This window comes from Homo sapiens, chromosome 17, assembly GCF_000001405.40.
Source record: "Homo sapiens chromosome 17, GRCh38.p14 Primary Assembly".
In the NCBI taxonomy this organism is placed as follows: Eukaryota; Metazoa; Chordata; class Mammalia; order Primates; family Hominidae; genus Homo; species Homo sapiens.
In genome coordinates, this window is record NC_000017.11 from 36,389,180 (window position 1) to 36,413,010 (window position 23,831).

Below are 23,831 nucleotides of genomic sequence, written 5' to 3' on the forward strand. Positions count from 1 at the left end.
CCCAGTGCAGGGTCCTCCTGATCAACACCTGCTCCCCTGTACTCATTAGCAACCTCACCCACCCTACTCTCAAAGCACACTTGGCTCTCGTATCCAGGAGCTCTGCATCTGTAGATTCAGCAACAGCAGATGGAAAATATTCAGAAAATAAATTGGACGGTTATGTTTCTATTGAACATGTGCAGACTTTGTTCTTGTCATCATTCCCTAAAGAATACAGTATCACGACCATTTATGTAGCATCTGCATTGTATTACACATCATAAATAATCTAGTAACGGTCTAACGTATACGGGAGGATGCGCATAGCTTATACGTAAATACTAGGCCACGTTATATCAGAGACTTGAGCATCCATGGATTTTGGCATTCCCGGGGACCCTAGAACTAATCCTCCATGGATACCAAGGGATGACTGTATATACTCACTCAGGAAGGCTTCTCATTGGAGGAAGGGCCCGGTTCAGGACAGACAGGGACATCATCCCTGGACTACTGTCCATCCATCCATTCATCCATTGGCACCACCCTCTAGGACTGTCCCAATGACAGCCCTAGCAAGTGGAGATAAGAAAAAAGACTGGCTCAAATGGTACAGCTTTGAGGTCTTGGAAGATGTTGCACCAGTATGAGAATAGGGGGTCAGTTTCCTCCAGGATCCAGAAAGCATATCAGGCAGGCTCGGGGAGAGGAAAGGAACACGGCCTCTCCAGCAGCCACACAGGCCTGCAGTAGGATGGGGCTGGGGCTGGGGCTGGCACTGGGGCTGGCCCCGTTTATCACTTGGGCCTCATGAGGGGAAAAGAAAGAACAGGGGGCAGAGGAGGAGCATGGGAGCAGCGGGTTGCCTAAGGAGAAGGCGCCTCAGGGAAGGGGTATTAGTTTGTTTTCACACTGCTATAAAGAAATACTTGAGCCTAGGTAATTTATAAAGGAAAGAGGTTTAATCGACTCCCAGTTCAGGGAACTTACAGTCATGGCAGAAGGCGAAGGGGAAGCAGGCACCTTCTCCACAAGGCGGCAGGAGGGAGTGAGCGGAGAAGCAGGAAGTGCCACACTTTCAAACCATCAGCTCTCCTGAGAACTCCCGCACTATCAGGGGAGCAGCAGGGGGGAACCTGTCCCCAGATCCCATCCCCTCCCACCAGGTTCCTCCCTTGACACAGGAGGATTACAATTCCAGATGAGATTTGGGTGGGGACACAGAGCCCAACCTGTGAGGGTCTCAGTCTATCTTGCAGCTCCCCTGGGGCTGGGGCTGAGTACAGTTCTGCTGGCCCTGCTCTACAGCACGTGGGGACTCTGCCTGTGTGCCCCCATCTGCTCTTCCTGGGGATGGTGGCTGCTTCCTCAAGAGGAGGGTGGATCTGCTCTCCTGCCCACCCCTCTCCAGGGCCTTTTGGAGCCCTGGCCACGTCCTCCCCAGGTAAGGGCAGGAAACTGGGCTCCTTGCCCTTCTTGCTGCTTGGGTGACAATCCTGGGGTCATCCATAGGCCCCATCACTGTTCCCGCTTCTAAATGGAGGGTATTTTGGCACATCTTCCTGGCGGGGTCCGGGGCCTCATCCCTGTTATTTATTCTATCTTGGTAAAGCCAGGTTAAGACATCTGGGCAAGGAGATAGTAGAGTGGCCCCCAGGAAGGGTGGGTGGAGGGCCTGGCCTTTGGGCTTGCCTGGAGCAGGGTGGGAGGGGGCAAGGTTACCAGGAAGCAGGGCTGTCAGGGCCAAAATCAGGAGGCGGTGATAATGCTGGTGGGGGGACAGGGCTGTGTGCTTGGCTTGGGGTGGGGCATGAGAGCCAAGGTTTGTCAGCACGCAGAGGGGTGGCTGACTCATGGACTAGGGGCTATGGAACCCAGAGGCTGCCCTTAGTTCCTGGATCCTGGGAGACTTCTGGAGCCTGGGTGTGGGGCAGCCTAGGGGTGGAGGTGGGGCAGACAGGGGTAGGGGTAGGGGTAGGACTTGCATGGCAGGGTGCAGGGTAGGAAACCAGCCAGGGGCCAGTTTGCATTGGCGGCTCCCATCCCCATCCCCACCCCCAAGCCCACCCCTACCCCCACCCTGCTGCAGAGATGGGCCTGGGCTGCTGTCCTCTGCTTTGGCCTCAGCAGATCACACGATGGAAGCTGGCAGCCCCGTGGGCACCACTCGAGCCAGCTGTGACCTGCAGTTTCTGCTTCCTGGAGTGTGGGGCGCCCACTCAGGAGAGCAGGGCATACCCCACACCCCTCATTTTGAGGATGCTGGGAGGTGGGGACCAAGGTCCTGCAGCCCTCTGCTTGCGCTATGAAAGGTAGCCTAGGAGTCCTGTGTCCGCCCATCCACGTGGGGCCCCAGGAGCCTGAACAGTGGCAGGCAGAGAGATGAGGAGGGTGAGAGAAGTGGAAAAGAAGGAGAGAGAAAGAGAGATGGGGAGAAGGGAGTGAGATAGAGAGAGAGAGGATGAGAGATAAGGAGAGAGACAGAGGAGGCTGAGAGGAAAAGGAGCGAGAGAGACAGGCAGAGAGACACAAAAGGCAAAGAGAGAGACAGGGAGAGACGAGCATGAGTAGGAGGTCGGATCACTCTCGATCCCAGTCCCCAGTGAAAACCGTAGGTCGCCATCACCTAACTACGCGTGCAATAAAGTCTTCTGCCTGCTGCTTACAGCCCGAGAACCCTTTTCCGAGAGAATAAAATCTTTGACCGTTGCCCTTTCTCGCCGGAGTTTGCTCGTGTCTTCTGATGAACTGTGATGTCTCACCTATCGCCTTCCTGGGCTCAAGGATCCACGAAAAGCCGACGACTCTTTTGGGGAGGCTCTGCAGTGCCTTCATCTCACTAGGCTCCCCAGGAAGCTTGCGAACTTGGCTTGAGCCCTAAGCAGCCGAGTATGTGCCGGGCCTCTGCTTCTCTCTTTCAGTAAGAGGGAGAACCAAGAAAGAGGCTGAAGCATGGTCTGCAGAGAAGGCACTTGTGCAAACACCAGGAGAATGAGGGGCCTGAGTTGTCTTCATTTCTCCTAAAAACACGCATTTCCTCCCAGGCCACCCTAGTGAGGGCATGAAGCACAGCGTGTGTGTGTGTGTGTGTGTGTGTGTGTGTGTGTGTGTGTGTTTGCAGGAATATGCATGTGTATGTGTGTGCATGTGTGTGTGTGCAGGTATATACATGTGAATGTATTTATGTATGTGCATCTGTGTGCATGTGTGTGTGCATGTGTGTGTGCAAGTATATGCATGTGCATGTATGTGCATGTGTGCGTGTGTGTGTGTGCGCCTGTATGTGTGTGTTGCAGGGCTTTACAGCGGACAGGATGTGGGAGGGCAGCTGCAGCTCCAAGCTGCAAGTCTTTCTGATAGAATGGTTAAGATTCCCTGGACCACAGAAAGAATGTTTTCATTTGCACCTATTTTTATTAGCATTTAAAGCTGTATTCTTCGTAGCATGTGAAGCTTAAGTTGCTTAACTATTCTTAGAAACATTTACACCAGCGGTCCCCAAACGTTTTGGCACCAGAGAGCAGTTTTCTTGAAGACAACTCTTCCACGGACCTGGGAGAAGGGGAAGGGATGGTGCAGAGATGATTCGAGCCCATTACATTTATTGTGTGCTTTATTTCTGTGATTATTTCACTGTAATATATAATGAAATAATTACACAACTCACCATAACATAGAATCAGTGGGAGCCCTGAGCTTGTTTTCCTGTAATTACGTGGTCCCACTTGGGGGTGATGGGAGACAGTCAGAGATCATCAGGCATTATGTTCTCATAAGGAGCACGCAATCTAGATCTCTGGCATGCTCAGTTCCCAGTTGGGTTCTATGAGAATGGAACGGCACCACTCATCTGACAGGTGGCAGAGCTCATGCGGTAATGCGAGGGATGGGGAGCGGCTGTTTCTACAGATGAAGCTTTGCTCCCTGGCTGGCTGCTCACCTCCTGCTGTGTTGTCTGGTTCCTAACAGGTGGGGACCCCTGATTTACCCAGTAAGAGAAACACATTTTTATGTCATTTGAAATTATTCACCCTGCACCACCCAAAATTATCTTGCATACCTACACCCATCCAGGGGTCCTGTAGCACACTTTGGGAGCTGTAGACAGTAAGCCTGGAGCTCCACTGAGCATTCCTTCTCTCCACCATCTGTGGGCTAACAGGCTGTGTTAGTTTCCTAGGGCTGTTTTACAGTACCACAGACTGGGCACCTTCAGCAACAGAATGTTACTGTCTCACAGTACTGGAGGCCGTGGGTCCAAGATCAAGGTGTCATCAGGGTGGGTATTTGTTTTCCACTGGACTGTTGATACATTCTTAGAAGGTTTTTGGTTGCTGTTCACGTTAATTTCTCTTCCTTTCTGCAATTGTTCTCTTTCAGTACTCCCTGATATTTTTCTTCTTGAAGAAGTAGCTAGTTAATTTTGTATTTTAAAATTCCTCCCCTCACCCCAAGAACTTCTACCTTCATAATTGGTTCTCTCTTCATATTTATTTTATACAAGTTATGTGGCTGATTACATTGTTTCTGTCTGTACAGATGGAGAGTTAAGGAATAAAGAGGACAGACAGACTAGATTACCTCAAACACTGAAATGCTATGATTTGTCCGAAGTCATACACGCATTATCTGACCAGACATATGTGCTTTTTCTCTAGAAGCATTTTGTCATTTTGAATCAAACAGGTCTTCTGAATCTACCTTAATGAAGTTGACAACTTTCAGAGGTTTTCAGTGGTGAAGAGAAACTTGGACAAGGAGATAACTTCCACAAACAGAAAAAGCCTCGTCTCTTCTGGATTCCTTTAATGCCAGTGGTCATCACCAGGGGCAGATTAGCCACCTTTTCCCTGGGCTGGGACCTCCACCTTCTCCTCTACAGGTGTATCACCTTAGAAATCTTCTGCATCTCACTGTCACCCAACACATTTTCTCCTTCCAAGCCTCTGCAGTCTCACGAGTTTGTCTGTATTTTTCTTCTTATAACCTGCCTTGCTACCCTAGCCAGCCTGGATCTCATAGGAGATTAATGGAAATACTCCCAACATTGGGCCTTTCCTGTGCCCGTCTTCCTGGTGTATCCTGGCAAAATGCCAGCCCAATCCACAGTCTGTTGTTCTACTTCTGTATCTGAAGGCTAAAGAAAAAGCACCTAGTCATACAGATTAACCCTGTTTTAATGTAACTATTCCATAATTTCAACCTCATCTGAGTACTCAGCCTTGCCTGATGCCTTTGCTTGCCCAGCCCTGTTTAGTTCTCTCATTCTCTTCAACATCTTTAGCAAATCTTCTCCTTCCCCGTCTTGACCTTCCTGTCTCTTCACCTGATACAGAGGTTCTTAGCTCCTACTTCGTTGACAATTTTAAGGTTTTGCTCTCTTCTGTAAATTGACCTATAGGAGTATCCTTCTTTACCCCTTTCCTGTGGTTTTCAGGGGATGGAATATTTGTCCTGAGAAGGCCAATACATCCATCGGACACGTGTCTCTATCCCCATTTGCTACGTAAGTATTTGACTTCAGCCATCCGGTACACTGGCTCTGTCTCTGGTTTACACCTGCTGTCTCTGTGTCAGCACTCATTTCCGCTTTAGCCCATTGACTTTTCCCTCACAACGCTACTGAACTTGTCAATAGGCACATCAGTGATCTCCTACATGCCAAGTCTCGTGGACATTTTTCTTCATGTTGTTTGACTGCTGCTCTGCCTGACTGGATATTATAATCTCCTTTCCTTGAAACCCTAGGCTACTGTAGCACTACACTTTACTGGTTCTCCGCTTACCTTCGTTACATCTCTTTTGTTTTTTTTTTTCCCGGATCCCTCCAGATGTGGCCTAGGAATCCTTTTAAACACAGTGCTCCAGGCAGAAGTTAGTTGGAGGTAGTTCACAAGATGCAATTTATTTGCCATCCACCCTTGCATTTCAACTCCATTATTTGTCCTTGCCATGCCTATCTATAAAAACACTTTCTCCTTCCCAGAGATGGCAGCTAACAAGACCTAGCAAAGAGAAATGGGAATTTTCATTCACAATTTCATAGGGAGAGCAATTGGTAAGATTATTTTACTGCCAAGGGTAATAAAATTAATGAGAGAGTTGAAGAAAGAGGCACGAATTCTGAAACTGTCTAGAACCATCTAAGAGGTAAAGCTGAGGAGTTTTATCCGTATTTGTAGGCTGTGATTATTTTCATAGAAGTACTCTCTGATTTATGGGTATGTCACTGATTACCACTAGAATTGCAGATTGGACACATTAAGCACATCAGCGTAAAAATCCTTGACATTTTGGCCGGGCGCGGTGGCTCACGCCTGTATTCTCAGCACTTGGGAATGCCGAGGTGGGCGGATCACAAGGTCAGGAGTGCGAGACCAGCCTGACCAACATGGTGAAACCCCGTCTCTACTAAAAATACAAAAGTTAGCCGGGTGTGGCGGCACGTGCCTGCCATCCCAGCTACTCGGGAGGCCGAGGCAGGAGAATTGCTTGAACCCGGGAGGTAGAGGTTGCAGTGAGCCAAGATCTCACTGCTGCACTCCAGCCTGGGCAACAGAGGGAGACTCTGTCTCAAAAAAAAAAAATCAAAAAAATCCTTGACATTTTAAAAATACCTCTGGCAGGGTTTCAGTGTAGTCATGATATTTAAAATATTACCATGATTTGTCAGTTTCTTAAGTATAATTTTGTTTAGTCGCACGTATGATAAGAACATACAGACTTCTTGCTGGGGGCATTGGCTCATGCCTGTAACGCCTATAATCCCCACTACTCAGGAGGCTGAGTCGGGAGGATTGCTTGAGGTCAGGACTTTGAGACTAGCCTGGACAATAGAGCAAGACTCTGTCTCTTACAACAAACATAATCATAAATAGATTTCTTGGTTTGTGGGGTTAACTTTTTAAATTTTCCTCTCATTAATTTGCCACATTTTTAAAAAATTTTTTGAGATGGAGTCTCACTGTGTCACCCAGGCTGGAGTGCAGTGGCACAATCTTGGCTCACTGCAACCTCTGCCTCTCAGCTTCGAGCGATTCTCCTGCCTCAGCCTCCCGAGTAGCTGGGACTACAGGCGTGTGTCACCACGCTCGACTAATTTTTTGTATTTTTTTAGTAGAGGTGGGGTTTCACCGTGTTAGCCAGGATGGTCTCGATCTCCTGACCTCGTGATCTGCCAGCCTCGGCCTCCCGAAGTGCTGGGATTACAGGCGTGAGCCACCACGCCTGGTCTAATTTGCCACTTTTATCTGACTAAGATACCTTAACTTTATTTATTCCTTGGATTGGTAATACAGTGAAATGATTAGGGCAGGGTTTTGAAACCAGAGAGATCTGGGTTCAAATCTTGGTGTGGGCTGTAGATGTTGGGGGCAATGGCCCTAAATCCTCTGACTTTCCAGTGATTTTTCAATGGGTAAAATAACCCTTACTTTGTGGAATGTTGCAAAGATTAGAGAGGATGTATATAAAATGTTTACCTATTACAGTGCTTGATATGTAGAAGATGAATTCTACAATTACACTGACCCATTTTGCTCATTGCGGCTTTAGAATAGAAAAGTATACTCATACACTAGAATTGTGCACCTAGAGCTAAGTGACTCCAGCCCTGTGGAACCCTTCAATGCCAAAATGGCGTGTAGGACTAGATAGATGAATGTCACCTGACTCTGTCTATTAAAACTCATTGTGTTGGGCCGGGAATGGTGGCTCACGTCTGTAATCCCAGCACTTTGGGAGGCCGAGGTGGGCGGATCACGAGGTCAGGAGATCGAGACCATCCTGGCTAACATGGTAAAACTCCGTCTCTACTAAAAATACAAAAAATTAGCCGGGCGTGGTGGCGGGCGCCTGTAGTCCCAGCTACTAGGGAGGCTGAGGCAAGAGAATGGCGTGAACCCGGGAGGCGGAGCTTGCAGTGAGCTGAGACCGCGCCACCACACTCCAGCCTGGGTGACAGAGCGAGACTCGGTCAAAAAAACACACAAAAAAAACCCCAAAAAACCAACCAAACAAAAAAAAACACCTCACTGTATTTTATTATTATTATTTTCGAGATGGAGTCTTGCTCTGTCGCCCAGGCTGGAGTGCAGTGGGGTGCAATCTCGGCTCACTGCAACCTCTCCCTCCCAGGTTCAAGGGATTCTCCTGCCTTAACCTCCCGAGTAGCTAAGATTACAGGCACCTGCCACCACGCCCAGCTAATTTTTTGTAGTTTTAGTAGAGATGGGGTTTTGCCATGTTGGCCAGCCTGGTCTCCAACTCCTGACCTCAGGTGAACCACCCGCCTCGACCTCCCAGAATGCTGGGATTGCAGGCATGAGCTGCCGAGCCTGGCCAAATCTGAAATACGTTTGATGCCAGGGTAGCCTTAGTGGAGTGAAATGCTTATTAACAATGAGAGTATTTGAAAAATATGAGATATACAATCATCAGAATTGAATGACCTTTCTAAGGAATGGTTTTATCCTAATTAAGTAATGATCAGAGTCGGGCGAGGTGGCTCACGCCTGTAATCCCAGCACTTGGGGAGGCTGAGGTGGGCGGATCACTTGAGGTCAGGAGTTCAAAACCAGCCTGGCCAATATAGTGAAACACCGTCTCTACTAAAAATACAAAAAAGTAGCGGGTATGGTGGCGCGTGTCTGTAATTCCAGCTACTCGGGAGGCTGAGGCAGGAGAATTGCTTGAACCCCGGAGGCGGAGGTTGCAGTGAGCCGAGGTCGCGCCACTGCACTATAGTCTGGGTGAGAGCAAGACTCCGTATCAAAAAAAAAAAAAAAAAAAAAAAAAAAAATCCGATTATAACATCTGTGAATGGAATAATTTGTAGACTCTTGGCATGCAAGAATTTGATGTTAGCTTTCTCAACTGTTTATGAACCGTAAAGGTTCATGATGCGTAAGTTCTGTTGAGATGGAAACTTGAACGCTGTGTGCGGTGGAGGCGAGGTTGAGGACTTCGCTTGGCGGATGAGTAAGCCTCACCCATCTGGACAGCAGCATTTACACTGCAACTTCACTTTTAACTTCGTATTTGCTGCTTGTTGTTATTTACGTGGTAACTAGCATGAATGATTCACATACACACATACGTATTCTTTGTCTCCTTGTGAAATATTACACCAAGGAGAAAACACCATTATGAAGCTAGTGATAGTAAAGTAGTCCCCAGACACAGTGCTCTTCAGTGCAAACGTTTGAAGTTTATGGAAGAAGCTCTGTGGCAGTAATAGCCATAAACTTTGGAATATGCAAAGATCTTGAAGTATATCTCTCACTTATACCAGGGATTTTTGTAGAGTAGAGAATTGAATTTTGAGCTTATGAGAGCTGGTAGCATTGGATTTTTTCGCTTTTTGTCTATCAATCCATTCATGCGGTATTTTTTTTTTTTTTTTTTTTTTTGAGATGGAGTCTGGCTCTGTTGACCAGGGTGGAGTGCAGTGGCCCGATCTGGCTCACTGCAAGCTCCACCTCCCGGGTTCACGCCATTCTCCTGCCTCAGCCTCAGGAGTAGATGGGACTACAGGCTCCTGCCACCACGCCCCGATAATTTTTTGTACTTTTAGTAGAGACGGGTTTTCACCGTGTTAGCCAGGATGGTCTCGATCTACTGACCCTGTGATCTGCCCGCCTCGGCCTCCCAAAGTGCTGGGATTACAGGTGTGAGCCACCGCGCCCGGCCACCATTTATGGGGTATTTTAAGATTTCATGTCAAAGCTCCATTTGTCTCAGATGGTACAATTGTCTGCCGTGTTGAAATAGGTGGTAACGCAAATTAATATTACCCTGAAACAAGACTTTATTTTATTTTTTATTTTTTAAATTTTTTAAAATTATACTTTAAGTTCTGGGATACATGTGCAGAACGTGCAGGTTTGTTACATGGGTATACATGTGCCATGGTGGTTTGCTGCACCTATCGACTTGTCGTCTAGGTTTTAAGCCCCACATGCATTAAGTATATGTCCTAATGCTATCCCTCCCCTTGCCCGCCATCCCCTGACAGGCCCTGGTGTGTGATGTTCCCCTCCCTGTGCCCATGTGTTCTCATTGTTCAACTCCCACTTTTGAGTGAGAACATGTGGTGTTTGGTTTTCTGTTCCTGTGTTGGTTTGCTGAGATGATGGTTTCCAGCTTCATCCATGTCCCTGAAAATGACATGAACTCATTCTTTTTTATGGCTGCATAGTATTCCATGGTGTATATGTGCCACATTTTCTTTATGCAGTCTATCCTTGATGGGCATTTGGGTTGGTTCCAAGTCTTTGCTATTGTAAATAGTGCTGCAATAAACATACATGTGCATGTGTCTTTATAGTAGAATGATTTACAATCCTTTGCATATATAGCCAGTAATGGGATTGCTGGGTCAAATGGTATTTCTGGTTCTAAAAGTCTTAAAATATCCTCTAAAGTAGATTTCAAAATACAACATACATGAGCCTGCAGGAGACCTGCTCACAGAAGGCATCTGTAATTTATAGGAAGATGATGCTGACACTAGATTAACCATGCATTTAGCACACCTCAGTTACAGTGAAAATCCAATTTTGTGCAAAAAGTGGGAAATAAATGGAGGCGTGTTTGCTTTACGAGAATTTATTTGATTTTTGTAAATAGAAAATGGTTTTATTACATGTAAAATATAATTTCAATTGGTCACTGTGAGGAATCGCCACAGTCTTTGGTAATGATGGAACTAATTTACACTCCCACCAACGGTGTAAAAGCATGCCTGTATCCCCACATCCTTTCCAGCATCTGTTGTTTCCTGACTTTTTAATGATCACCATTCTAAATGGCGTGAGATGGTATCTCATTGTGGTTTTGATTTGCATTTCTCTAATGAGCAGTGATGATGAGCTTTTTTTCATATGTTTGTTGGCCGCATAAATATCTTCTTTTGAGAAATGTCTGTTCATATCCTTCACCCTCTTTTTGATGGTTTTTTTTTCTTATAAATCTGTTTAAATTCCTTATAGATTCTGGATATTAGACCTTTCTCAGATGGATAGATTGCAAACATTTTCTCCCATTCTGTAGGTTGCCTGTTCCCTCTGATGATTTTTTTTTTTTTTTGCTGTGCAGAAGCTCTTTAAGTGTTTATTTTAATATTTGTGTAATAATGTCCAGTTTTACCAAGCAGAATGATCTACATAGGAGCTTTTATGCAGAACTCATTGTTCTTCACTAAGAGCTTGTTAGTCCAGTAGTAAAATCAAATCCATCCTCAGTTGCTATGTGGCTTTGTTAAACAGTTAAACTTGAGTTGGAGATGCTCTGCTATAGGGAGGAATTTTCGCTCCCCAGATGTGTTTGTATATAATATAATGTATTTTTCCCCTCTCCCCTGTGGAAACTTTGTGGAAAGATTATTTCAGTGTTAACCCTGATTGACATTTTAGTAATCGAACAAGTGTTTGTTACTCCTTTACTCATTCATTTATCAAGTGCTTAATGGGTGCCTTCTGGGTGCCAGACACTGCATTAGACTCTGGGGAATCAAAGATGAATCACACTTAGTCTCTACCCCCTGGGAATTTATTCTGGTTAGAGAAATTGTAAACACATAATCATGATCCTATGGGATATTTTTAAAGTATGAAATGAGATAATGTGTGTGAAAAAGCTTTGTAAGCTTCACACATTTAAGATTTTTTCTCCAGTGCATAGCATGATGTCTGACATATTTTAACTGCTCGTTACACTCTTGAATGAACTGGGGAAGAGCCAAGAGTTATGAGAGCAAAATACTAGAGTGTAGATGGATTAGTTCTGCCTGGATGGACAGGAGGGACGCGGAGGCTTCCAAGAATATAACTTTTGAACTGGACTTGGAAGTATAAGTTGTTTATGTTAAGAATCGAGAAAGGAGGTTCTGGGGGGACAGCTATCAGTCGTTAAAGTGCCTGGATTTAGATGGACCACAAATCTACAGGCTTATGCAGTTTACAAGATGCTTTTGTTTACAGTATCTCTTTTGAGCCTTATGACAGGTCCATGAAGTGAGTTCATACAACCAAGACAAGCCTTGACCAGAACCTGGGTTCTAGGGTGTAAGAGACAGCATCTGGCCAGTTTATTCTTTACACTTTCACAAATGTTATGATTGCTAATATTATTGTATTTCTATTATTACATTTGTGAAAGCATGGTTTTCTGAGTTACAAGTATATGAAAGACAAATGTGTACATGTAATAAAATACATAGTTTTCTTTTTTTCTTTTTTTTTTTTGAGACAGAGTCTCGCTGGGTCCCAGGCTGGAGTGCAGTGGTGCGATCTCGGCTCACTGCAATCTCTGCCTCCGAGGTTCAAGCTATTTTCCTGCCTTAGCCTCTCAAGGAGCTGGGATTACAGGCGCCTGCCAGCATGCCTGGCTAATTTTTGTATTTTTAGTAGAGCAGGGGTTTCACCATGTTGGCCAGGCTGGCCTCGAACTCCTGACCTCGTGATCCGCCCACCTCGACCTCCCAAAGTGCTGGCATTATAGACGTGAGCCACCGTGCCCAGCCATGGTTTTCTTCTGATTTCTGTAAAGCAGGTTAGCTTGTATTGATACATGAGGAGGTTTTTTTCAGAGGTTTCAAGAAACAAGCTAGAAAATGCTTCCATAATATTTCAAAGATTCTTTATGATTCAAGCAGTTTTTCAGGATTTTCAGTCCATTTAAACCATTTATCTAACAAACACTAAGTAGAAACTATGAGCTCTACATTCTCTTGTAAGCTTTCTTTTTCTGTTATAGTTGAGCAAATTTGTTGACATTTTTATTTTTATATTTATTTATTTATTTATTTTTGAGTCAGAGTCTCACTCTGTTGCCCAGGCTGGAGTGCAGTGGCACGATCTCAGCTCACTGCAAGCTCTGCCTCCCCAGTTCACGCCATTCTCCTGCCTCAGCCTCCTGAATAGCTGGGACTGCAGGCGCCTGCCACCATGCCCAGCTAGTTTTTTAGTAGTTTTAGTAGAGACGGGGTTTTACCGTGTTTGCCAGGATGGTCTCGATCTCCTGACCTCGTGATCCACCTGCCTCGACCTCCCAACATGCTGGGATTACAGGTGTGAGTCACCATGCCCGGCCCAGATGTAGCTCTTTTTTTTTTTTTTTTTTTGAGACGGAGTCTCGCTCTGTCGCCCAGGCTGGAGTGCAGTGGCGGGATCTCGGCTCACTGCAAGCTCCGCCTCCCGGGTTCACGCCATTCTCCTGGCTCAGCCTCCCAAGTAGCTGGGACTACAGGCGCCCGCCACTACGCCCGGCTAATTTTTTGTATTTTTAGTAGAGACGGGGTTTCACCGTTTTAGCCGGGATGGTCTCGATCTCCTGACCTCGTGATCCGCCCGCCTCGGCCTCCCAAAGTGCTGGGATTACAGGCGTGAGCCACCGCGCCCGGCCACCAGATGTAGCTCTTATGTTTAGGTCTTTGATCCATTTTGAGTCAATTTTTGTGTGCGGTGTAAGAGAAGTGTCCACCTACATTCTTTTGCATGTAGATAATGCAGTTTTCCCAAAATTATTTGTTGAAAAGAGTCTCTTTCCCACTGAATGATCCTGGCACTTTTGTTGAAAATCACTTCACCATATAAGCGAGAGTTTATTTTTGAACTCTCTATTCTCTTTCAGTGCTCTGTTTTTATGCCAGTACAACACTGTGTTTTGTTTTTGTTTTTGTTTTTTTGAGGTGGAGTTTCATTCTTGTTGCCCAGGCTGGAGTGTAGTGGCCTGATCTCAGCTCACTGCAACCTCTGCCTCCTGGGTTCAAGCGATTCTCCTGCCTCAGCCTCCCGAGTAGCTGGGATTACAGGCATGTGCCACCACACCCGGCTAATTTTTGTATTTTTAGTAGACACGGGGTTTCTTTATGTTGATTAGGCTGGTCTCAAACTCCCGACCTCAGGTGATCCGTCCGCCTCGGCCTCCCAAAGTGCTGGGATTACAGGCATGAGCCACCAAGCCTGGCAACACTGTTTTGATTACTGTAGCTTTGTAGTAAGTTTTGAAATCACGAAGTGTGATGTCTTCAAATTTATTCTTTTTCAAGATTGTTTTGACTATTTGAGGTCCCTTGAGATTCTACATGAGTTTTAGAATGTATTTTTTTTTAATTTCTGCAAAAAACATTCTTGGGATTTTGACAGGGATTTTATTGAATGTGTAGATTGCTTTGGAGTAGTAACATCTTAGCAACATTAAGGTGTTGCAATCCAAGAACATGAAATGTCTTTCCATTTATATATGTTGTCTTCAGTTTACTTCAGTAAAGTTTTATGATTTTTCTGTGTACAAGTCCTGCATTTTCTTCATTGCTGACTTATATATACTTGTTTTTTTTTTTTTTTTTTTCTGAGATGGAGTTTCACTCTTGCTGCCCAGGCTGGAGTGCAATGGCGCGATCTTGGCTCACGGCAACCTCCGCCTCCTGGATTGGAGCAATTCTCCTGCCTCAGCTTCCTGAGTAGCTGGGATTACAGGCATGCACCACCACGCCCGACTAATTTTGTATTTTTAGTAGAGACGGGGTTTGTCCATGTTGGCCAGGCTGGTCTTGAACTCCCGACCTCAGGTTCCTGGTGCTTCCTATTGCACCATCTTCCCAGAATCCTCTCCCTTCCTGTTGTGCTTTTATAGCCACACCTGCTTTCCTCCTGCCGCCAGACTTAGTCGTAACTGCTAATGTATTCCTCATTTTGGTAATTTTGTTATCTCAAGGATGTTATATAAATGGGATGATAGAACTTGTAATTTTCTGAAGGCCAGGTGCCTGGCTCACGCCTGTAATCCCAGCACCTTGGGAGGCTGAGGTGGGTGGGTTACTTGAGGTCAGGAGTTGGAAACCAGCCTGGCCAACATGGTGAAACCCTGTCTCTACTGAAAATACAAAAATTACAGGGATTAACCTGTAATCCCAGCTGCTTGGGAGGCTGAGACATGAGAATTGCTTGAACCCAGGAGGTGGAGGTTGCAGTGAGCCGAGATTGCACCACTGCACTCCACCCTGGGTGACAGAATGAGATTCTGGTCTAAAAACAAAACAAAACAAAACAACATGTAATTTTCTGGGATTGAGTTTTTTACACTAAGTTTAATTCCTTGGAGATTCCTCCGGGTTGTTGCTTAGTGTTTGTTACGGTTATACTGCACTTTGTTTACTTATTTGCTGAAAGATAATCTCAGTTATTTCCACTTGTAGGTTATTATGAATAAAACTGTTAGAAACATCACACAGGTTTTCATGTGAACGTAAGTCTTCATTTAGTAATGTTGATAGGTGGGTAGTGATATCTCATTGTGTGTATTATTATTATTATTATTATTATTTTTGAGACAGGGTCTTGCTCTGTTACCTAGGCTTTGAAGGGCAGTGTCATGATCATGTCTCATTGCCACCTTAACCCTCTGAGTAGCTGGGACTATGGGTGTGTGCTACACTACACCCAGCCAATGTTTTTAGAAATATGTTTTTGAAGAGATAAGGTCTTGCTATGTTGCTCAGGCTGGTTTTGAACTTCTGAGCTCAAGTCATGCTCCAGACTGGTCTCCTAAAGTGCTGGGATTACAGACCACTACACACACCTCATTGTGTTTTTAATACGTATTTACTTAGTGGCTAATGATGTTGACCATCTTTTCGGGTGCTTATTTGGTATCTTTTTTTAAAAATATGGAACACTTTAAGAATTTGCATGTCATCACTGTGCAGGGAGCATGCTAATCTTCTCTGTATTGATTCAATTTTGGTATATGTGCTGCTGAGACAAGCAGTAGTACCTTTATATATCCCCTGTTCATCACTTTTGGCTATTTTCTTTTTTTGAGACGGAGTCTCCCTATCTCTACTCAAAAACAATACAAAAATTAGCCAGGCATGGTGGCACATGCCTGTAGTCCCAGCTACTTGGGAGGCTGAGGCAGGAGAATTGCTTGAACCCAGGAAGCGGAGGTTGCAGCGAGCTGAGATTGCACCACTGTACTCCAGCCTGAGCGACAGAGTGAGACTCTGTCAAAAAAAAAAAAAAAAAGTATTCCACTCTTGCTGGGTGGAATGTCCTGTAAATGTCCATGGATCCAGTTAGTTCATGGGGTTGAAGTAAATACTCTTGCTGTGATCATATGTATAGTTTTAACAGTTGTTACAGAGAAATACTGAAGTCTCTATAGTGGATTTGTGTATTTCTTCATTCTGTTCCATCAGGTTTTCTTTCACAGATTTCGTAGTCTGGTTTTTTGCTGCATACACATTTAGGAATGTTATGTCCTCTTGGTGGATTGACCCCTCTCTCAATAAATAATTTCCTTCTTAGTCTCTAGTACTTTTTCTTTGCTCTGAAGTATACTGTTTCTGATATTAATATAGTCATCCACTTTTCCTTAGTGAATGGTTGCATCATATACCTTTTGAATTTTTTTTTTTTTTTTGCTTTCAATGTGCTTAGATTGTTATATTCGAAGTAAATGTCTTGTACACAAAACAGTGTTAGGTTATGTTTTCTTTCTTTCTTTCTTTTTTTTTTTTTTCTTGAGATGGAATCTTGCACTGTCACCTGGGCTGGAGTGCAATGGCGTCATCTTGGTTCACTGCAACCACCACCTCCCGGGTTGAACCAATTCTCCTGCCTCAGCCTCCCGAGTAGCTGGGATTACAGGTGCCCGCCACCATGCCTGGTTAATTTTTTATATTTTTAGTAGAAACCGGGTTTCACGATGTTGACCAAGCTGGTCTCGAACACTTGACCTCTTGATCTGCCTTCCTTGGCCTCCCAAAGTGCTGGGATTACAGGTGTGAGTCACTGTGCCTGGCCTTTTTTTTTTTTTTTTTTTGAGACACGGTCTTGCTCTGTCACCCAGGCTGGACTGCAGTGGCACAATCATGGTTTACTGCAGCCTGGACCTCCTGGGCTCAAACAATTCCCCCACCTCAGCCTCCCAAGTAACTGGGACCACACATGTGCACCATCACACCCGGCTAATTTTTTTATTATTTGTAGGGACGAGGTCTTGTTATGTTGCCCAGCCTGGTCTCGAACTCATGGGCTCAAGAGACCCTTCTGTCATGGCCTCCCAAAGTGCTGGCATTACAGGCGTGAGCCACCATGCTTGGCTGTAGGTTATGTTTTTTAAATCTAGTTTGTCAATCTTTGTCTTTTTCTTTTTTTTTTTTTTTTTGAGACGGAGTTCATCACTCTGTCACCCAGGGTGGAGTGCAGTGGTATGATCTCGGCTCACTGCAACCTCTGCCTAGTGGGTTCAAACAATTCTCCTGCCTCAGCCTCCAGAGTAGCTATTACAGGTGCCCACCACCATGACTGCCTAAATTTTTTTTTTTGTATTTTTAGTAGAGACAGGGTTTCACCATGTTGGCCAGGATGGTCTCGAACACCGAACCTCAAGTGATCTGCTCTCCTCAGCCTCCCAAAGTGCTTGGATTATGGTTGTGAGCCATTGCACCTGGCCAGTTTTTGTCTTTTATTTGCTGTTTTTAGGTATTTGGGTCATTTACATACTTACAGATGTTGTCAGAATCCTTTTTTTTTTTTTTTTTTTTTTTTTTTTGAGACAAAGTTTTACTCTTGCCCAGGCTGGAGTGCAGTGGCTCAATCTTGGCCTACTGCAACCTCTGCCTCCCGGGTTCAAGCAGTTCTTGTGCCTCAGTCTCCCAAGTAGCTGGGATTACAGGCATGTGCTACCACGCCCAGCTAATTTTTATATTTTTAGTGGAGTTGGGGTTTCACCATGTTGGCCAGGCTGGTCTTGAACTCCCGGCCTTAGGTGATTCACCCACCTTGGCCTCCCAAAGTGCTAGAATAACAGGTCTGAGCCACCACGCCTCGTTTTAGTTTTAGTTTTTTGATTGTTCTTTTTCCTGCTTTCTTTTGAGTTACTTGAACATTTTTGGAATCCCATTTTTCTTGTCGTATTTTTTTTCTACCCCAATTCACTACGCCAAAACCATTTTTCTTTATTGTATTTTATATCTGCTTATTTTAGTTCATTGATATGGTTTGGATATTTGTTCCGCTGAATTTTTTTTTCTTCTTTTTTGAGACAAACTTTCGTTCTTGTTGCCCAGGCTGAAGTGCAATGGCGTGATCTCAGCTCACTGCAACCTCCGCCTCCCAGGTTCAAGTGATTCTCCTGCCTCAGCCTCCTAAGTAGCTGGGATTACAGGCATGTGCCACCATGCCCGGCTAAGTTTGTATTTTTAGTAGAGACGGAGTTTGTCCATGTTGGTCAGGCTGTTGTTCTCCAACTCCAGACCTGAGGTGATCCACCCACCTCGGCCTCCCAAAGTGATGAGATTACAGGCGTGAGCCACCATGCCCGGCCTAAAAATTGTTTTTGGGAGGCCAAGGTGGGTTAGTCACCTGGGGTCCGGGGTTCAAAACCAGCCTGGCCAACGTGGCGAAAACCCGTCTCTACTAAAAATACAAAAATTAGCCAGGAGCGATGGCGGCACCTGTAATCCCAGCTGCTCAGGAGGCTGAGGCAGGAGAATCGCTTGAACTTGGGAGGCAGAGCTTGCCGTGAGCTGAGATCATGCCAGTGCACTCCAGCTTGGGCAACAGAGCGAGACTCCGTCTCAAGAAACAAACAAACAAAAAGCAACAACAAACAAACAAAAAATTTTTTCAGTTAATTCTGATGTATCTGTGAGATATTAGAATTAAGATATCTTGATGTTTGCATTTGTTTATTGCCTTTTTCCATTCAATTTGAAATCTTCTGGATTCTTCATATCTTTTTGGTATCACAAATAACTTTTGATTGAAACCTGGGCATTTTTGTGTTGTCATGAGACTATGCATCTTACTTAAACAACTGTTTTAGTTTTTTTGTTTGTTTTTTTTTTTTGGAGACCATCTTTATCACCCAGTCTGGAGTGCAGTGGCGCCATCTCTGCTCACTGCAACCTCCGCCTCCCAAGTTCAAGCGATTTTCGTGCCTCAGCTTCCGGAGTAGCTGGGACTATAGGCACCGGCCAACACGCCCAGCTAATTTTTATTTTTAGTAGAGGCGGGGTTTTGCCATGTTGGCCAGGCTGGTCTCCAACTCCTGACTTCTGGTGATCCACCCGCCTCGGCCTTCCAAAGTGCTGCGATTATAGGCGTGAGCCATCGCGCCGGGCCCTGTTGGGGATTCTTTTTTTTTTGGTCTGTGTTCATCGGTGTCCTGATGTACTCACTTCTTCCATTCCAGGAGTAGGATACATTAGGCAAAAAGAAGAATACCCAGGGAATTTACTGCTATATTGTGCCTTGTGTCCTGTGATCCTGAGCTAATTTGCCTTCTCTCCACCTTTCAGAGAATATTCGTTTTATTTACAATGTTCACATTTTAAATTTGTACTTAGTGGGAGGAATAGGGAAAAGTATGTCCATTCCATCGTCCCAGAAGTGTAAGTCTAACCTTTGATTTCACTGAGTGTGCCCTATTTTTCTGTTTTCTATTTCATTGACTTCTGCTCGATCTTTCTTTTGCTCTTCTAGTTTCTTAAGGAACAAGGTGAAGTCACTGATTTGTTTCTTTTCTAATATAGTCATGTAATTGTATAAATTTCTCTTTCAATCACTGCTTTAACTGTCTTAAAATACTTGATATATTTGTCCTTTTTTTACCCCTTGGTGTTATGGGTTATGTTATGTTATGTTATGTTATTTATTTTATATTTTGAGACAGATTCTCGCTCTGTCGCCCAGGCTGGAGTGCAGCAGCGTGATCTTGGCTTGCTGCAACTTCCGCCTCCCGGGTTCAAGCAATTCTCTGCCTCAGCCTCCTGAGTAGCTGCGGTTACAGGCGCCGGCTACCATGCCCGGGTAATTTTTGTATTTTTAGAAGAGACGGGGTTTCACCATCTTGGCCAGACCGGTCTTGAACTCCTGACCTTGTGATCCACCTGCCTCGACCTCCCAAAGTGCTGGAATTAGAGGCGTGAGCCACAGCTCCTGGCCCCCATTGGTTATTTTAAAAGTATGTTTTGATTTCAAATATGGGGATTGCCTATTGATTTTTTTTTCTGTCACTGATTTCTAAATATCATAGTGGTAAGAAAAAAATCATGATAAGACTTCAAACCTTTTAAATGTACCAAGAGTTGTTTTTTTTGGCCCGAATATGGTATATCTTGGTGAATGTTCCAAATGCACTTGAACAGAATGTGTATTCTGGTAGGTTGTGTAGAGTGTTCTAAAGTTAGTTAGGTCAGTTTGGTGTTATTCAAGCTTCTGTATCCTTACTGATTTTCTGTCTGCTGGTCTGGAATCTCTCTCTGTCGCCCAGGCTGGAGTGCAGTGGCATGATCTCGGCTCACTGCAACCTCCATCTCCTGGGTTGAAGCGATTCTCCTATCTAAGCTTCCCGAGTAGCTAGGATTACTGTTGTGTGCCACCACGCCCGGCTAATTTTTGAATTTTTAGTAGAGACAGGGTTTCACCATGTTGGCTGGGCTGGACTTGAATTGCTGACCTTAGGTGATCCGCCTGCCTCTGGCTCCCAAAGTGCTGGGATTACAGGTGTGAGCCACCACGCCTGGCCCACCCAGTTAATTTTTAAAACTCTTTTTGTAGAGACAGGGTCTCCCTGTGTTGCTCAGGTTGGTCTTGAACTCCTGTGATCAAGCAATCCTGTCTCGGCCTTCCAAAGTTCAGGGATAACAAGTGTCATTCACCATGCCTGGCCTGGTTCTATTACACAGAGAGGTTTGCTGAAATTTTAAAATATAATTGTGGATTCTTTCATTTCTTCTTACAGTTCTCTCATTTTTGCTTTATTTATTTTGAAGCCCTGTTATTAATAGGTAAATAAATGTTTAGGATTTTTGTGTGTTCTTGATGAATTAAACCCTTAATGTATATAAAATGATGCTCTTTTTTCCTGATAAAATTTTTATTTTTGTCCACTTTACATGATAGTATTATAACGATTTCAACTTTCTTTTGATTTTGTAGTGTGTAATAAGATCTTTTTCTTGGCTGCACTGGAATTTTAATTTCTGATTGTAGTCATTTTGGTCATGGTTTACCCTGTTTTTTGGAGATGGGCTTTTACTCTGTCACCTGGGCTGGAGTGCAGTGGCATAGTCATGGCTCACTATGGCCTTGACCTCCTTCTGCCTTAGCCTTCCTGAGTAGCTGGAAGGACCACAGGTGTGTGCCACTACCCGTGGCTAATTCTTTTTTTTTTTTTTGAGACGGAGTTTTGCTCTTGTTGCCCAGGCTGGAGTCAATGGCACGATCTTGGCTCACCCCAATCTCCACCTTCCGGGTTCAAGCAATTCTCCTGCCTCAGTCTCCCGAGTAGCTGTGATTACAGGCATGAGTCACCATGCCCAGCTAATTTTGTATTGTTGGTAGAGATGGGGTTTTTCCATGTTGGTCAGGCTGGTCTCGAACTCCCGACCTCAGGTGACCTGCCCACCTCGGCCTCCCAAAGTGCTGGGATTACAGGCGTGAGCCACCATGCCAGGCCATTTTTCATGTGTGTGGTGTGTGTGTGTGTGTGTGTGGGGGGGGGGTATGTATGTTTTTAGAGATGGGTTCTGCAGCGTTGCCCACACTGGTCTCGAACTCCTGGCCTGAGGCGATTTTCCCACTTTGGCTGCCCAAAGTGCTGGGATTACAGGCATGAGCCACTGCGCTCAGCCACTTTTCTTCATGTTTCTAGCGAATGATAATTCATTAAAAGAGTGCCTTGTTATATATGCTTATAATTTCCCTCAAATATGTGAAAAGTTGTTGGCCATGATTTCTAAAAAATTTTTTTCAATATTATCTCCTGTTTTGTGGCTCTAGTTACAAATATGTTTGGCCTCTTGAAGTTATTTCAATTATCACGTATTACATTTTTTAGTGTTTTTTTCTGTGTTTCATTTAGGTTAGTAATTTTGATTTCATGTGTTGCAAATTTCAAAGTGTATTTTTCATCTTAGACTTTGTAATTTTCATCTTTAGAAGTTCAAATTTTAAAAATAATTCATATTTTTACTTAATATGTTGTTTCTTCTAGCCTTCTCATCATATGAAATATCATCATAATTGTTTTAAAGGACTTGTCTACCAATTCTATTTTCTGTTTCATTTCAAAATTGGTTTGTTTTTTGTTTCATTATGGGGTATAATTTCCTGCTTCTATGTAAGTCTTATAAATTTGGATTGGCTTTTGAGCCAGTGTGAATTTTACCTTGTTTTCTAGTTTCTCTAGTTTTGTTTGCCTTTTAAAAATATTTGTGGACTTTGTTCTGTGGCATTATTAAGTTGCTTGAAAACAGTTTCTTTCTGTTGGGTCTTTTATGTTTTCCTTGATTGGACCAGGGTTGTGTTTAGGGTTAAATTTTTCCTCCTTCTGAAGCCTTTTCTTTCTTAGTATTCCAATGTCACATCTCCAATGTGATATAAATTATATCACGTCATTTCCTTTTGGACTTTTGGGTGTGGGTACTATACACATCCTTAAGTCAGTCCTGGATGCTATTACGTCTAATTGTTTTGGTGATTTCTCACCTTGCCCTTGGACAGCTCCTTTACATTGCAAGTGCTGATTTGTCATTCAACCAAAAGTTCTAGGGTGAGCCCTTGTAGATCTCTTCATTTCTCTCTCTCTCTCCAGCTCTCTACTCAGTGCTGGTCTCCCTTGTGAGCTCTAGGCACCTTGGCCTCCTTGGACTTCCAGCTCCATTTCCTCAACTTGGGGAGACGACAGGCTCTGCCTGGGTTCCTCCTCCCTGTTCCACGACCTGGAAAACTCTCTCAAGGCAGTAAGCTGGGCACACGTGTGGCCCGTTTGTTTTTTGTCTTCCAGGGATCACTGTCTTTTGTTACTTGTCCAATATCTTCAGTGCTGTTGTTTCATTCATTTTATTAGGTTTTTATTATTTCACGCAAGGAGGCTAAATCTGGTCCCCTTTATTCACTCCATCTTGACCAGAAGTGGTATCACTGTGGTTTGAATTTACATTTTCATGATAACTGGTGATATTGAGCACGTTTTAGCTTGTGTGTTGGCCATTTGTGTGTTCTCTTTTGTGATGAGTTTGTTCATTTTGCCTTTACTGTTCTTTGTTTTCGTTTTTCATCTATTTGAGTTGCAGAAGGTGTTTATATGTCCTAAATACTCATCCTTTGTTAGACAAATGTTTTGTAAATACTTTCCCCAAGTCTATGTGGTTTACCCATTTATTTATTTATTTATTTATTTATTTATTTATTTATTTTTGAGGCGGAGTCTCGCTCTGTCACCCAGGCTGGAGTGCAGTGGCGCGATCTCGGCTCACTGCAAGCTCCACCTCCCGGGTTCACGCCATTCTCCTGCCTCAGCCTCCCGAGTAGCTGGGACTACAGGCGCCCGCCACTACGCCCGGCTAACTTTTTGTGTTTTTAGTAGAGACGGGGTTTCACCGTGGTCTCGACCTCCTGACCTCGTGATCCGTCCGCCTCGGCCTCCCAAAGTGCTGGGATTATAGGCGTGAGCCACCGCGCCCGGCCTATTTATTTTAACTGTACCTTTTGATGAGCAGAAATATTTATATCTGCTAGGTTTAATTTATCAGTGTTTTCTTTTGTAGTTATTGCTTACTGTGAGCTAAGACACTTTTGCCTAACCTCAAAGTCTTGAAGGTAATTTCCTTTGTTTCCTGTAAAAGGGCTTGCTTTTGCTAATTTATATTTAGGTCTGTGATGCGTCTGAAGTTATTTTTGTAGGTCTGAGTTTTTTGCATGTGGCTATCCAGTTGTTTGTCACCATTTGTTGAAAAGAGTCTCCTTTTCTCACCGGGTTGCTTTGGGAACATCGCGTGGCTGCCTAAGTGGGATCTCTTTCAGAAATCTTTATTCTGCTTCAAAAATCTGTTT

The 23,831-nt window shown here is 44.4% G+C and overlaps 2 pseudogenes; one reads left to right on the plus strand and one right to left on the minus strand.

The window, feature by feature from the left end:
* The window catches only part of LOC100420852 (nitric oxide synthase 2, inducible pseudogene), a 52,131-nt pseudogene that overhangs the window by 15,721 nt on the left and 12,579 nt on the right, over nucleotides 1-23,831 (plus strand).
* Nucleotides 15,647-15,753, minus strand: RNU6-1192P (RNA, U6 small nuclear 1192, pseudogene; annotated as a pseudogene).